Here is a 14,106-nt window from a genome sequence, read left to right on the forward strand (position 1 = left end):
AGATGTGGTATCAGCATTTAAGCCAGAGAGGCTGAGTGTTACATTGTACGAGATTCATTCTATTTTTTCCCTCATATCCTTCAGTAATAAAAGCTATTTTATTTGTAGAATAAATAAAATTTTCTTCATCTAAATATAGACTGGTCACTAAAATAATTTTCCAAAGAGAAATTTTGGCACTGCCACCTAAAATTTGGTTCTGGGTAGCTCTTACAGTTAATTTCAGTCTTATTAAAAAGCACAGATTTTCAAAACTGCCTCCAAGTGCCTTAGGCATTTGGAGATTTTCATGTGTTTAGATCATCATCATTAATTGGTAATTATTAAGCACATTCAGATTCATGGCACTGTATTTATGTGCATTATAGTTCCAAGCCTTTAGATTTTATTTCTAGAATGTGAAGCTAAAGGCAAGAGCCGGTGAGGAAAAACCGTAAGATGATAAAAACAAAAGGATGTAAAATAAATATAAAATAAATGATTAACAGCTTTGTAAAATGTGTTAGATGTCCACTAATAATTGGAAGGAAAATTTTCAAGATACCCACTATAGTCTTTGTTCTTATTCAAAATTCAAAAGCAAAAGCTAGTCTTGTTGACTTGGGTAAATATAATGAAGTTGGTAGGAAGGTGTGGCTCCAACAATCGCTGTGACCTTCATGCCTTTATTTATATTTGCTTGTATGTGTGTGTCTGTGCACATGTGTATGTATTATGTATAAAGTCTCACATCTGCATATAATTTCATACATATGATTATTCTGAATATCTAACCCATGTTACCCTATAGATGATTAGCTAGTTGAAGCAAAGAATAAGGAGTAGATCTTTTCTTCTATTGCTATACAGATACTAAGAGACAGAGTTCCATTTTCAGAACTTTCTCTTCGTCTCTGTCCCTTTGAACATCGGGGTTGGGAAGTGGGGAAGAAAGCAGTTTTAGAAGACGAATTAAAACCTGCCTTTACTCCAACTTGGTTTTTTGAGAGCTTAAAGAAAAGCAAAAGTGGGAAACAGTGATATTTCCTGTCAATTCTAAATCCCACATAATTATAGTGAAACTGAACATAAAATATTCCTTTCTTATGCTTTAAATGATGACTCTTTGTGAAGTTATAATAGACAATGTATTTTTCGAATGATTAATTCACCTACACAGCTTTGATTGTCACTACATAAAATAGTTTGCTGTCAGTGTTTTTTTTTTAAATCTTACCTCCACCACCTCCTCATAGTCTTCGTCATCTGCCATTTTTCCAGAGTAGTAGTGGCACCTACAAACTTTTCATATTCCATACAAATGAAAACATATTAGAGTCTATTCCCAGCACAGAAATTATCTTATGACATTATAAAAATAGAATTTGAAGCTAAACTATTGTACAAATTCATATATTGTTGCAGGCTAAAGGAGAGAAGACATTTAAAATACAAGTATAAACAGCAGAAGCTTCAAATTTCTTTCTCTTTATTCCTTCAGTGTTGGGAATTGCTACTTCTACATAATCAGTTTAGTTAAAATTGTAAAACGAAATTGAGGTAAGGAAGTGAGAGAGTTTGGACTCAGGGAACAGAGAATTTAAACTTCCAAACACTTAGAGAAAAGACATTTTCCAGCAAAAATTTTAGTGAAAGGTCAGCTTGGGTTTCAGAAGAAGCTGAAATTTATCCCCCAGCACCAAAATTCTAAGAGGGCTGACTTAGTTTTCCATACTGCCCTGATCCACTGTTTGCAATATATCTTAGGCTTCAAATTGGAACCCATAAAAATACATCTGTCAATAAATTTTAAAAGAAAAAAAGAAACCTCAAGGCAATGGGGTTATTTTCTTCCCGAACACCATTGGCTTATACAGACTTTTTCTTTCGTTTCTGTAGCTCTCGTTCAAACCTGAAAAATAACAAAGTTGTAAAGCATTGATTGAGGTACATATAGGATTGTCAGTCCTTAGCCTAAGCTTCTAATGCAGAAAACAGCGAAAGGATCTCTCAAGGCCTCTACAGTTTGACGCCAGAGAGTAAGACTCTTGATATGAAGTGGATGATGAGTTGGAACAGCTGTCCCTTCATCCAAAGATGTTTGCCATGTAAACCAATACCCTGCAGTGGCTGGTTTTGTTAAGCTAGCGAAACTGCCACTCCTCAGGCAAATGAAGCCCAGTAGAACAGGATAAATATAGGAACGTAGAGCAGCGTATCTTCTTTTTCACACTAATATATTTAGAGAAAAATATCAAAGGCAAAAAAATGTTAGACAAGAGAGCCAATTCAGTCAAGCAATAAATTGGTTAGCAAAGGACTTGACTCTAATCACACACGGTACATAGCAGATATTAGTAGGGCCTTAGTAGGGCAATGGGGTTAAACTCTCCTAGCCATATTTCTACCACTAATTTCCTCAGTTATGGCCCAAACCTTTGAAAAATACTTCGAGGGAAGTTGTGGAGCATCTCCTGAAAGAGTATTACAGAAAAAGTCATAAACTGGCCTTACCTTCAATCTACCAAATAAATTTCCTCAGCAGCAAAGCCTCTCCCAACTCTCCCCTCCTGAGAACCCCAGGCAAAAGCCAGCGTGATGCCTGGGCTCCGAATTATCATGTGGCAAGAGCAACCAATCAGATCTTGAGTTGCTCAAATTTCAGAAGCTAAATTTACCAAGTGATCTTCTGAAAACCACCTGTTCATCAATTCCACTAAAGGATAAAGGGTAACAAATTGCTTGCTTAGAACAATTCAAATGGAATCAAATTTTACCTAACTTCCAGCCTGTGCAGTTCAATTTTAGGTTGAATTTCCCATTTACTGAGGCCCCATTCAATGTCATATTCATGCAAAAGAATTTAGTAGAAAATAAGCATGACTTTGAGAGGCTTTAACCCTTCCGTGACTGCTTTCTTCATGTCATTTGTCCAGTCATGGTGGTAAATGTACTCACTCTGGTAAGGTTCACCAGGTGAGCTACAGGTAAGTTACTGGTGCTAGTGTGAAAGAAACTGAGGAATAAGACCCAGTAAACATCAAGTTGACAAAAGCAATTTTTAAAAATGTGATGAGTGAAGTTAAAGGTGAAAATATTTGACAATGGCACTAAATAAGATATCCACAGGGTGTAATTAGAAAGATTAGACCCCATCATTTTTCTGTTACTAAACCAAGAGGGTATACCAAAATCCTATTTAGCACCTTCTCCCTCCTTAGATAAGGCAAGCTGCTAGGAATACAGAACCTCTCTCATATGTAACCGAGTTAGTGATTTTTCTATTAACTCAGATGACTCCTGGCTCCCAGAAGCAACGTGTGAATGCGGACACAAACAGGCTCAATTTCTGAACAGCAAGAGCAGATAACATGGAAATCAGTAACTTATCAGGAGAAAATAATGCCCTATTTGGCAAATCCGAACGTAAGACATTTCCTTCATAAAAATTATCTAACCATTTTCTTAAAACTTGCCTGATGTCTTTCTTGCACTTTCTTTGCTCCTGAAGTATTTTTTCTAATTTAAAATCTAATTCTATCTGTCTGTCTGTCTGTCCTTACACACAGCGACAGAAATCACAGGCTCTTATGTGACAGAGAACTGCTCTTTCTCTGGGTTGCTCCTGTATTCAGGCAAAACCCTGTGAGTCACCTATATCTTGATATGGATTTGAGATTAAACATATTGTAATATTTTTTCTTTTTTAAGTTAAACATTAGAAAGTAATCTCGCTGGGCGTGGTGGCTCACGCCTGTAATCCCAACACTTTGGGAGGCCGAGGCGGGCAGATTGTCTGAGGCCAGGAGTTTGAGAAAGTAATCTCATATTTCAAATACATGTACCTTTTCCCCCTCCATGATTCACATGGTAGTAAATAAAATCTAACAGAATTTTATCATCTTAACTGATTATACCTGTTCATCTTGTATGTTCTCACAGGTCTTATGACCAAAGGATATTTATGTAATATGAGATCACTCACTTGGTAGCTGCAAACTAGAATTGTGACTTACTAGTCATTACATGCTTTAAAATGTGTTGTTGAATTAAAAAATAATACAGGCCCATACTTTAAAAACATAGAGTACAAAATTATATAAAGTAAAAAATGAGCATTGACCTTCTTAGTCATTTTTAAGTTTCAGATATTTTCAATATAGATATTGACATAAATCGATATACTTAATATGCAATAGACATTTTTATGAAACATCACATAAACATATCCTACTCTAATTTCCACAAATAATTCTATTGATTGGATAGAGTATAATAGTTTAATCATTATTAATGGACATCTAGGTTGTTTCGAGGTTTTTGCTATTACAAAATAAAGCAAAACAATGCGAAACAAAACACACAGTAAGCATCCCTGTACATTACCTTTGTATACTTATATGAAATGTATCTGTAAGGTAAATTTCTAGAAATAGAAATACTGAGGCAGAAGATATATGCACATTTTGAAAATTGATAGATATTGTCAAGTTGCCAGTCAAAATCCTTACACTATTTTATGTTTCACTAACAGAGAATGAGGGTTCCTATGTATACACATCTCAATATCCTTAGGGATTATTAGACTGAAAAATCATTACTATCTGAGCTGAATGTGTCCCCCCAAAATTTATATGTTGAAGTCCTACCCCCCGATGTGTGGAAAGTGATTGGGTCATAAGGGTGGAGCCCTCACGAATGGGATTAGTACACTTATGAAAGAGGCCCCAGAGAGCTGCCTGGCACTCTCTCTGCCATGTGAAGTTACAGGGGGATGATGGCCAGCCACAACCTGAAAGAAAGTCCTCACTAGAACCCAACCATGCCAGCACCCTGATCTTAGACATCCAGCCTCTAGAACTATGAGAAGTAAATTTCTGTTTATAAGCCATCCAGCTTATATTATTTCTGTTATAGCAGACCAAATGGACTAAGACACTCTTTATACATTACTTTTGAAACCACTATGATAGTAAATAGAAGTGCTACAGATGAGCAGAACCTCAAACTCCATTCATAATGAAGTGTGCATCTAAAAAGTTAGGGTGGGGGGTGGGGCAAGAGTGAGTTCACATGAAATTACCCTGGCTTAGATCTCTTGGGATAAATTCCTCCTAAAAGAAAGCCCCAAAGCCCCTGCTAAACTGGCCTGCTGCAGGTTGCCCTAATAATTTGCAAAGCCATCAGAAGTAAGAGACTCACAGGAGAGCTGGTTATATTCCTACCATGGTTACACAGGGGTGAGTGAACCAGCAAGCAGCTTATATTTACCTCCTAGTCACACTAGAGAAAAACACTGCCACCTCCTTACTAAATTCTGCAGATTCTAATCTGGAATGATGCCCTCTAGAGATGAAAGAACAGCTTTATTTTCCTGGCCTATCTATGACCTCTTCTGTGGAACGACAGTACATTGGCACCCTGATTTATTGGTAGGTTCTTATTATATGCCTTGCACATGGTAAGTGTTCAGTAAATGTTAGCTATTATTATTTTTACTATTATCATTTTTTACATTATATTGGAAGCTTCACGCTTTATTCTGTATTTAACTGAAATACCAAATATCTTGAAGCTTCTAAAATCAGACAATAGTTAGTCTAAGAATTTATGAGTACGCAGGCATCTGACTAGAAGCTTGTACAACTGGCTACAAACCAAAGCAGGGCAGTTAGGTGCCAATATCGGAACTTCAGATAAGGCTTCCCTAAATATGAAAATATAGAAGTGTCATGCCTGGAGACCAAAAAAGACATGATAAGGGGAGATGGGATTGTAACAGTTTTTGTTGTCATTACTTTGATTTCAGTATTTTGATCAACCTCTATATGAACATAGCTTAAGAATCAAGCTTAAGTTTCATAAGACTTGCTACTAAATCAACATTTCCTGTTTCCTCTATTCCTTTTTCCCCTCCCTGGAGACATCACTTGGACTCATTTAGCTGAATCTTTTGTTATATTCCTTTACACATTTAACAAAATGTCTACATTGCTCCTTCCTGATTTTTCATTCATAGGCATCATTTATTAAGCTCCTATCCGGGAAGATGAGGCTTTAATTCTCTTTCATCTAAACCACAAGCCTCACCTCCTGCACCTCAATAAAGTTCTACACATATAATTCAGAACTCAATGTTTACATTTTTATGATTAGCAAAAGGCTATTCACAGCTGAACCCTATAAATTATGATTATTTTTCTTTTCCTCTACAAGGGCTTGTTTTTCTGGAAGTTGGTATTTTTCTCCATTTCTTTTATTTTCTTCCTTGGCTTAATTTTTTTCTAGACAAGTGGTGTCTGAGAGAGCTTTCTGCAATAGTTGAAATGTTCTATACCAGCACTGTCCAGTACAGTAGCCACTAGCCCCATGTGGCTATTGAACACTCAAAATGTGGTTAGTGTGACTGCAGAATTGAATTTTTAGACTTTTATTTGACTTAAACTCAAACAGCCACATGTAGCAGGTGGCGATGGTATTGGGCAGAATAATTCTAGACACTTTTAGCACTAACACCTCAAACTTTCTGGCTAAGTCAAGTCTGCTCTTGGTGTTTTCAAAGACATTAAGTAGTGTTCTATAATTCTACCCATTTCCTCTTCTTAGATCTCTCAGGGAGTCTTTTCTTCCAACTGGATCAGTTCCCTGTGCGGCTGGAACTCAGTTCTTTTCTTGAGCCCCCTCCACTGTCTTTCATTCTGGGAATTATCCTCTTCTCTCTTCTGAATTAGATCTTGGGTTTCCTGGATCCCATGTCTTTCTCTTGCTTACCTTTCCTGTTTTGATGGAAAACATCCTCCAGTAGTTTCCTGAGAAAGGATACATATAAGGTATGAACCCAAAAGTATCTGAGACAGGTCTCAATAAATTTAGAAAGTTTATTTTGCAAAAGTTAAGGACGTGCCTGTGATACAACCTCAGGAGGTCCTGATGACATATGCCCAACATTTTTAAAAACTTTTCATCAAAGTATAGTATATACATAGACCTAGACTTTCAGAACTGGAACCAGATGCTCATCCAAAGACTTCTTGGTGGCTTTTGAGCTGCGAGTGTGGGACTGAATGCTGGAGTGTGGGACTTGGGATTTGTTGCTGAGCTTTGGGGCTGGATGTGGCCTGCAGTATATGGCTCCATTCTTCTGGTTCCCTTCATGACTATGGATGTGAATTAGATGAATAAAGGCTTGTGGCAAAAAGACAGTAATGTGGCCCCATGATAATCCCTGCCTCCTGGTGATCATACTTTGGTGAAATCCTGTGCCTGTGCCCTGCTGCTAACCAGTAGAATTTGGTAAACCTGTTGAGATGGCACTCCTATAGTTACATGCAACATATAAGACTCCATCTTGCTAGCCAACTTGCTCAAGAGACTCTTCTTGCTGGCTTGATGAAGCCACGTGGCCTTGATGGGGAAGCTCACCTGGCAAGGAACTGCTGTTGCCCTCTAGGAGCTGAGGACAGCCCCCGGAAGAAGAGAGTAAAAAGCTGGGCTTCCAGTCATACAGCTGCAAGGAAATGGTCCTGCCAAGAATCAGACTAATCTGGGAAGGAGATTCTTCCCCAGTCCAGCCTGCAGATGAGAACAGCCTCACCAACCCAATAACTTCTTTGGAGCCTTGTGAGATCCTAAAGAGGACCCAGGTAAGCCAAGCCGAAACTCCTAATACTCAGAAACTGTGAAACAATGAATATGTCTTGTTTAAACCACTAGGTTTGTGGCAATTGGTTATGCAGCAATAGATAACTAATATACCCTTTAATCAGTAGAAAAGAGATCAAGAATATTCACAAGAATTTGGATATTTTCTTTTTAACAAACTTTATTTTTTAGAACAGTTTTAGATTTACAGAAACAACTGAGGAGACAGTACAGAAAGTTCCCAGATACCTTCCATTCAGTTTCCCCATCGTTGACACTTTACATTAGTATGATACATGTGTTATGATTAATAAGCCAATATTGACACATCATTATTTTTAAAATGGCATAGTTTATTTAGAGATTCTTAGCTTTTATTCAATGCCCTTTCTCTGTTCCAAGATTCCATCTCAGATACCACTTTACATTAAGTTGTCATGTCTTTTTAAATGTGGCAATTTCTCACACTTTATTTTTGATGACCTTGTTAGTTTTGAGGAGTACAGGCCAAGTATTTTATAGGTTGCCTAGTATTGGAATTTGTCTGACGTCTTTCCTCATAGAAAATACTCGGGTTATGAGTTATTGGGAGGAAGACCACAGAGGTGAAGTGCCATTTTCTTCCCATCATATCAAGAGTAACTGCTATCCCCATGACTTACTACTGTTGATGTTGGCCTTGTTCATCACCTGGCTGTGGTGTTTGGGAGGTTTCTGCTCTGTAAAATTACTCTCCCCACCACCTCTCTTCATACCACACTCTTTGGAAGGAAGTCACTAGGCACAGCCAAAACCTAAGGATTGGAGAGTTGTGCACCCCTCCTTGAGGGTGGAGTAACTACATAAATTATCTGAAATTCTTCAGCATGGGAAAATTTTCTCTTTTTCCCAATTTATTTATTTAATCACTTATTTATATCAGTAAGGACTAATGGATATTTATTTTATACTTTGTGTTACAATCCAATACTTCTTTATTTTATTACTCAAATGGTTCTAGCTTTGACCATTGGCAGCTCTTTTAGTTGGCTCCTGCATTCCTTTGACATACCCCCCATCAGTGTGTGTGTGTGTGTGTGTGTGTGTGTGTGTGTGTGTGTGTGTGTGTGAGAGAGAGAGAGAGAGACAGAGAGAGAAAGTGCATTTTCTTACTTTCTGGAACTGCAAAATGCTCCAGGACTCCAGATATAAGTATGCATTCGATCTATAAATTTGAAAGTAATACAAGTTCATTGTAAAAATTTCAAGCAATAAAGGTTCATGTAGATTATAATATGAAATAAAGGTTTATATACACTATAATATAACAATTCTAATTCATTCTTTTAACTATTATTTATTATGTACAATATATGAGGTTCTGTTCTACATGCTTCCTTCATGCAGCAGACATCATTAGTTGCTTAAGCAATATACAGCCCTCCCCCAGTGGGTATTGGGCAGAACAATTCCAATATCCATGGAAGGTTGGTTCCAGGACCTCTAGCAGATATCAAAATTCATAGATGCTTAAGTCCCTGATATAAAATGACACAGCATTTGCATATAACCTGTGCACATCCTCCTGTACACTTTAAATCATCTCTAGAATACTTGTAATACTTAATACAATGTAAATGCTGTTTAAATAGTTGTTATACTGTATTGTTTAGAGAATAATAATGCCCCCCCAAAAGTCTCTATGCATTCAGAATGTTTTCTTTTTCCAAAATTTTCTATCTGTGATTGAATTCGCAGATACAGAACCCACAGATACAAAGGGCCAACTCTATGTGCGTCCCTTCTTGTCTATTAACAGAACCACAGTTTAGTGCAACCCAGAAATACGCCCATTTTAAAAATACACTCCTCAGATTCCCTAACAGTTAGGGGTAACCTGTGACACTGTTTTGCCAATAAGATTTAAGTACAATTCTTGGTGCTGAGGCCGATGGGAAAGCTGTTTTTTGACTGACGAGCAGGGTCAGACTCACCTGGCATGCACTAGTTTTCTTTTGCCATTCTTCCCTTTACTATGCCTGGAACACAGATGTAATGCCTGGGCCAGGGCAGCCATCTTGAGACTAAGCATATGGATCATGCACTAAGAAATGGTGAAGCTAGAGGAGTCTTAGCCTTTACTGATTTTCTTAATTTTTGTATTTTAAATTACTTTTTAATAATGTTAATGTATTATAATTATACAAGTAATTACAATGATTATATGACTTCTCCCTACGTATCAAACATTTTTTCTATTTTTACTTTGCCAATTAATAATAAAGTTGGTTATTTTTTCATATGTTTATTGACCATTTATATCTTTTATTCTGTCTACTATCTGCTCATATCTCCACCCCACATTCATTTCTGGGCATTTGTAATGTACTATAGAAATGATTATTTGCCTCTTGTGTATGTTGTCAATATTTTCTCCAAGTTATTTGTGGTGTCTTTGACCACGGAGATGAGTTGAAATTTATCGTCAGTCAAATATGTCAATCTCTTCCTTCCAGTTTCAACACCATTTATTGACTAAATTGAATTTGAAATACTGCTTTTAACATATATTAAATTAACATGTATTTCTGTTTCAAGAGTCTCATGTCTTTTCTTGTTTTCTTTTCTTTTCTTTTTTGAGACAAGGTCTCACTCTGTCACCCAGGCTGGAGTGCAGTGGCCCGATCTCAGCTCACAGCAACCTCTGCCTCCTGGGTTCAAGCGATTCTCCTGCCTCAGCCTCCCAAATAGCTGGGATTACAGGTGCAGGCCATCATACCTGGCTAATTTTTGTATTTTTAGTAGAGACAGGGTTTCACCATGTTGGCCAGGGTGGTCTCAAACTCCTGACCTCAAGTGATCTACCCGCCTCAGCCTCCCAAAGTGCCAGATTAAAGGCATGAGCTATGGCGCCCGGCCTTCTCATTTTCTTTTCTTTACTTCCTAGGGTTTTTGTTTTGTCTTTGACTTTATTTGGTTTTGCTCTTCTTATGAAATGTAACATGCAGGAAATTATGTAAAACAAGCATACAGTTCAGCAAATGGTGGTAAATGGGGGCAACTATTAATACTACACTAGTACAGAAAGGTCATCTCTTGATCTTGGCAGTAATAATTTCCTTGCTTTTATTTACCACGTATGTATGCATTTCTAAACAATATAGTTTCATTTTGCCTGTTTTTAGATTTTATATAATGGAATCATGCCATACGCAATTTTTTTTTTTTTTGAGATGGAGTCTTGCTCTGTCGCCCAGGCTAGAGTGCAGTGGCACAATCTTGGCTCACTGCAAGCTCCACCTCCCAGGTTCATGCCATTCTCCTGCCTCAGCCTCCCGAGTAGCTGGGACTACAGGCGCCCACCACCACGCCCGGCTAATTTTTTTGTATTTTTAGTAGAAACAGGGTTTCACCATGTTAGCCAGGATGGTCTCGATCTCCTGACCTTGTGATCTGCCCGCCTCGGCCTCCCAAAGTGCTGGGATTACAGGCATGAGCCACCACACCCGGCCTGCAATTTTTGTAACTTAATTTTTTACTTATATCATGTTTGTTGGTTTTTATTATTGTATAACATTCTACCAAATGGCCATACTTCTGCTTACACATTCTGCTGTTGAAAGGGAATTAAGTATTTTCAACTTTTGTCATTTAAGAACAAAGATGAAATGAACATTCTTATACACTGTATTCTTGCGTGGAGGGGTGGAAAACTTTTCCTCTACCCTCTTAGGTTCTGTGACTTGGCTTGAGAATTAAACTAACAACAGAGAGATTAACAGGATAAAAACATATAAATTATACTTGATGTTAATATTCTTACATGTACATGGAGGCCTTCATATTTAAGAAAAGAAGACCCGAGTTCCAAGATGGCTGAATAGGGACAGCTCCAGTCTGCAGCTCCCAGCATGAGTGACGCAGAAGATGAGTGATTTCTGCATTTCCAACTGAGGTACCGGGTTCATCTCACTGGGGCTTGTCAGACAGTAGGTGCAGCCCACGGAGCAGGGTGGGGCATCGCCTCACCCGGGAAGCACAAGGGGTTGGGGAATTCCCTTTCCTAGCAAAGGGAAGCCGTGACAGACGGTACCTGGAAAATCGGATCATTCCCACCCTAATACTGTGCTTTTCCAACGGCCTTAGCAAACGGCACACCAAGAGATTATATCCCATGCCTGGCTTGGAGGGTCCCAGGCCCACGGAGCCTCGCTCACTGCTAGCACAGCAGTCTGAGATCGAACTGCAAGGTGGCAGCAGGGCTGGGGGATGGGCGTCTGCCATTGCTGAGGCTTGAGTAGGTAAATAAAGAGGCTGGGAAGCTCAAACTGTATGGAGCCCACCACAGCTCAAGGAGGCCTGCCTGCCTCTGTAGACTCCACCTCTGGGGGCAGGGCATAGCTGAACAAAAGGCAGCAGAAACTTGTGCAGACTTAAATGTCCCTGTCTGACAGCTTTGAAGAAAGTAGTGGTTCTCCCAGTAGGGAGTTTGAGAACTGAGAACGGACAGACTGGCTCCTCAAGTGGGTCCCTGACCCCCGAGTAGCCTAACTGGGGGACACCTCCCAGTAGGGGCCGACTGACACCTCATATGGCCGGGTGCACCTCTGAGATGAAGCTTCCAGAGGAAGGATCAGGCAGCAACATTTGCCGTTCTGCAATATTTGCTGTTCTGCAGCCTCTGTTGGTGATACCCAGGCAAACAGGGTCTGGAGTGGACCTTCAGCAAACTCCAACAGACATGCAGCTGAGGCTCCTGACTGTTAGAAGGAAAACTAACAAACAGAAAGGACATCCACACCAAAACCCCATCTGTACGTCACCATCATAAAAGACCAAAGGTAGATAAAACCACAAAGATGGGGAGAAACCAGAACAGAAAAGCAGAAAATTCTAAAAATCAGAGCGCGTCTTCTCCTCCAAAGGAATACAGCTCCTCACCAGCAACGGAACAAAGCCAGATGGAGAATGACTTTGATGAGCTGAGAGAAGAAGTCTTCAGACGATCGGTAATAATAAACTTCTCCGAGCTAAAGGAGGATGTATGAACCCATCGCAAAGAAGCTAAAAACCTTGAAAAAGATTAGATGAATGGCTAACTAGAATAAACAGTGTAGAGAAGTCCGTAAATGACCTGATGGAGCTGAAAACCATGGCACAAGAACTACGTGACACATGCACAAGCTTCAGTAGCTGATTTGATCAAGTGGAAGAACGGGTATCAGTGATTGAAGATTAAATGAATGAAATGAAGCAAGAAGAGAAGTTTAGAGAAAAAAGAGTAAAAAGAAACGAACAAAGCCTCCAAGAAATATGGGACTATGTGAAAAGACCAAATCTACGTCTGATTGGTGTACCTGAAAGTGATGGGGAGAATGGAACCAAGTTGGAAAACACTCTTCAGGATATTATCCAGGAGAACTTCCCCAACCTAGCAAGGCAGGCCAACATTCAAATTCAGGAAATACAGAGAACACCACAAAGATACTCCTTGAGAAGAGCAACCCCAAGACACATAAATGTCAGATTCACTAAAGTTGAAATGAAGGAAAAAATGTTAAGGGCAGCCAGAGAGAAAGGTCAGGTTACCCACAAAGGGAAGCCCATCAGACTAACAGCTGATCTCTTGGCAGAAACTCTACAAGCCACAAGAGAGTGGGGGCCAATATTCAACATTCTTAAAGAAAAGAATTTTCAACCCAGAATTTCATATCCAGCCAAACTAAGCTTCATAAGTGAAGGAGAAATAAAATCCTTTACAGACAAATAAATGCTGAGAGATTTTGTCACCACCAGGCCTGCCCTAAAAGAGCTCCTGAAGGAAGCACTAAACATGGAAAGGAACAACCGCTATCAGCCACTGCAAAAACATGCCAAATTGTAAAGGCCATCGATGTTAGGAAGAAAGTGCATCAACTAATGAGCAAAATAACCAGCTAACATCATAATGATAGGATCAAATTCACACATAACAATATTAACCTTAAATGTAAATGGGCTAAATGCTCCAATTAAAAGACACAGACTGGTAAGTTGGATAAAGAGTCAAGACCCATCAGTGTGCTGTATTCAGGAGACCCATTTCATGTGCAGAGACACACATAGGTTCAAAATAAAGGGATGGAGGAAGATCTACCAAGCAAACGGAAAACAACAAAAAAGCAGGGGTTGCAATCCTAGTCTCTGATAAAACAGACCTTAAACCAACAAAGATCAAAAGAGACAAAGAAGGCCATTACATAATGGTAAAGGGATCAATTCCACAAGAAGAGCTAACTATCCTAAATATATATGTACTCAATACAGGAGCACCCAGATTCATAAAGCAAGTCCATAGAGACCTACACAGAGACTTAGACTCCCACACAATAATAACGGGAGACCTTAACACCCTACTGTCAACATTAGACAGATCAACGAGACAGAAGGTTAACAAGGATATCAAGGAATTGAACTCAGCTCTGCACCAAGCAGACCTAATAGACATCTACAGAACTCTCCACCCCA

The 14,106-nt window shown here is 39.0% G+C and overlaps 1 protein-coding gene across 47 annotated transcripts in view; it reads right to left on the bottom strand.

Moving 5' to 3' along the window:
- Nucleotides 1-2,572, bottom strand: part of NEB (nebulin) — a 249,138-nt gene extending 246,566 nt beyond the window's left edge. For all 47 annotated transcript variants that reach the window (XM_011511227.3, XM_011511226.3, XM_005246613.3 and 44 more), the window contains exons 1-3: nucleotides 2,494-2,572; nucleotides 1,808-1,891; nucleotides 1,217-1,281 (exon numbers count right to left, since the gene is read on the bottom strand). In XM_011511227.3, the coding sequence (XP_011509529.1) occupies nucleotides 1,217-1,252 (36 nt within the window). In that variant the 5' untranslated portion in view covers nucleotides 1,253-1,281; nucleotides 1,808-1,891; nucleotides 2,494-2,572. The remainder of the gene's footprint in view (nucleotides 1-1,216; nucleotides 1,282-1,807; nucleotides 1,892-2,493) is intronic.

This window comes from Homo sapiens, chromosome 2, assembly GCF_000001405.40.
Source record: "Homo sapiens chromosome 2, GRCh38.p14 Primary Assembly".
Lineage (NCBI taxonomy): Eukaryota > Metazoa > Chordata > Mammalia > Primates > Hominidae > Homo > Homo sapiens.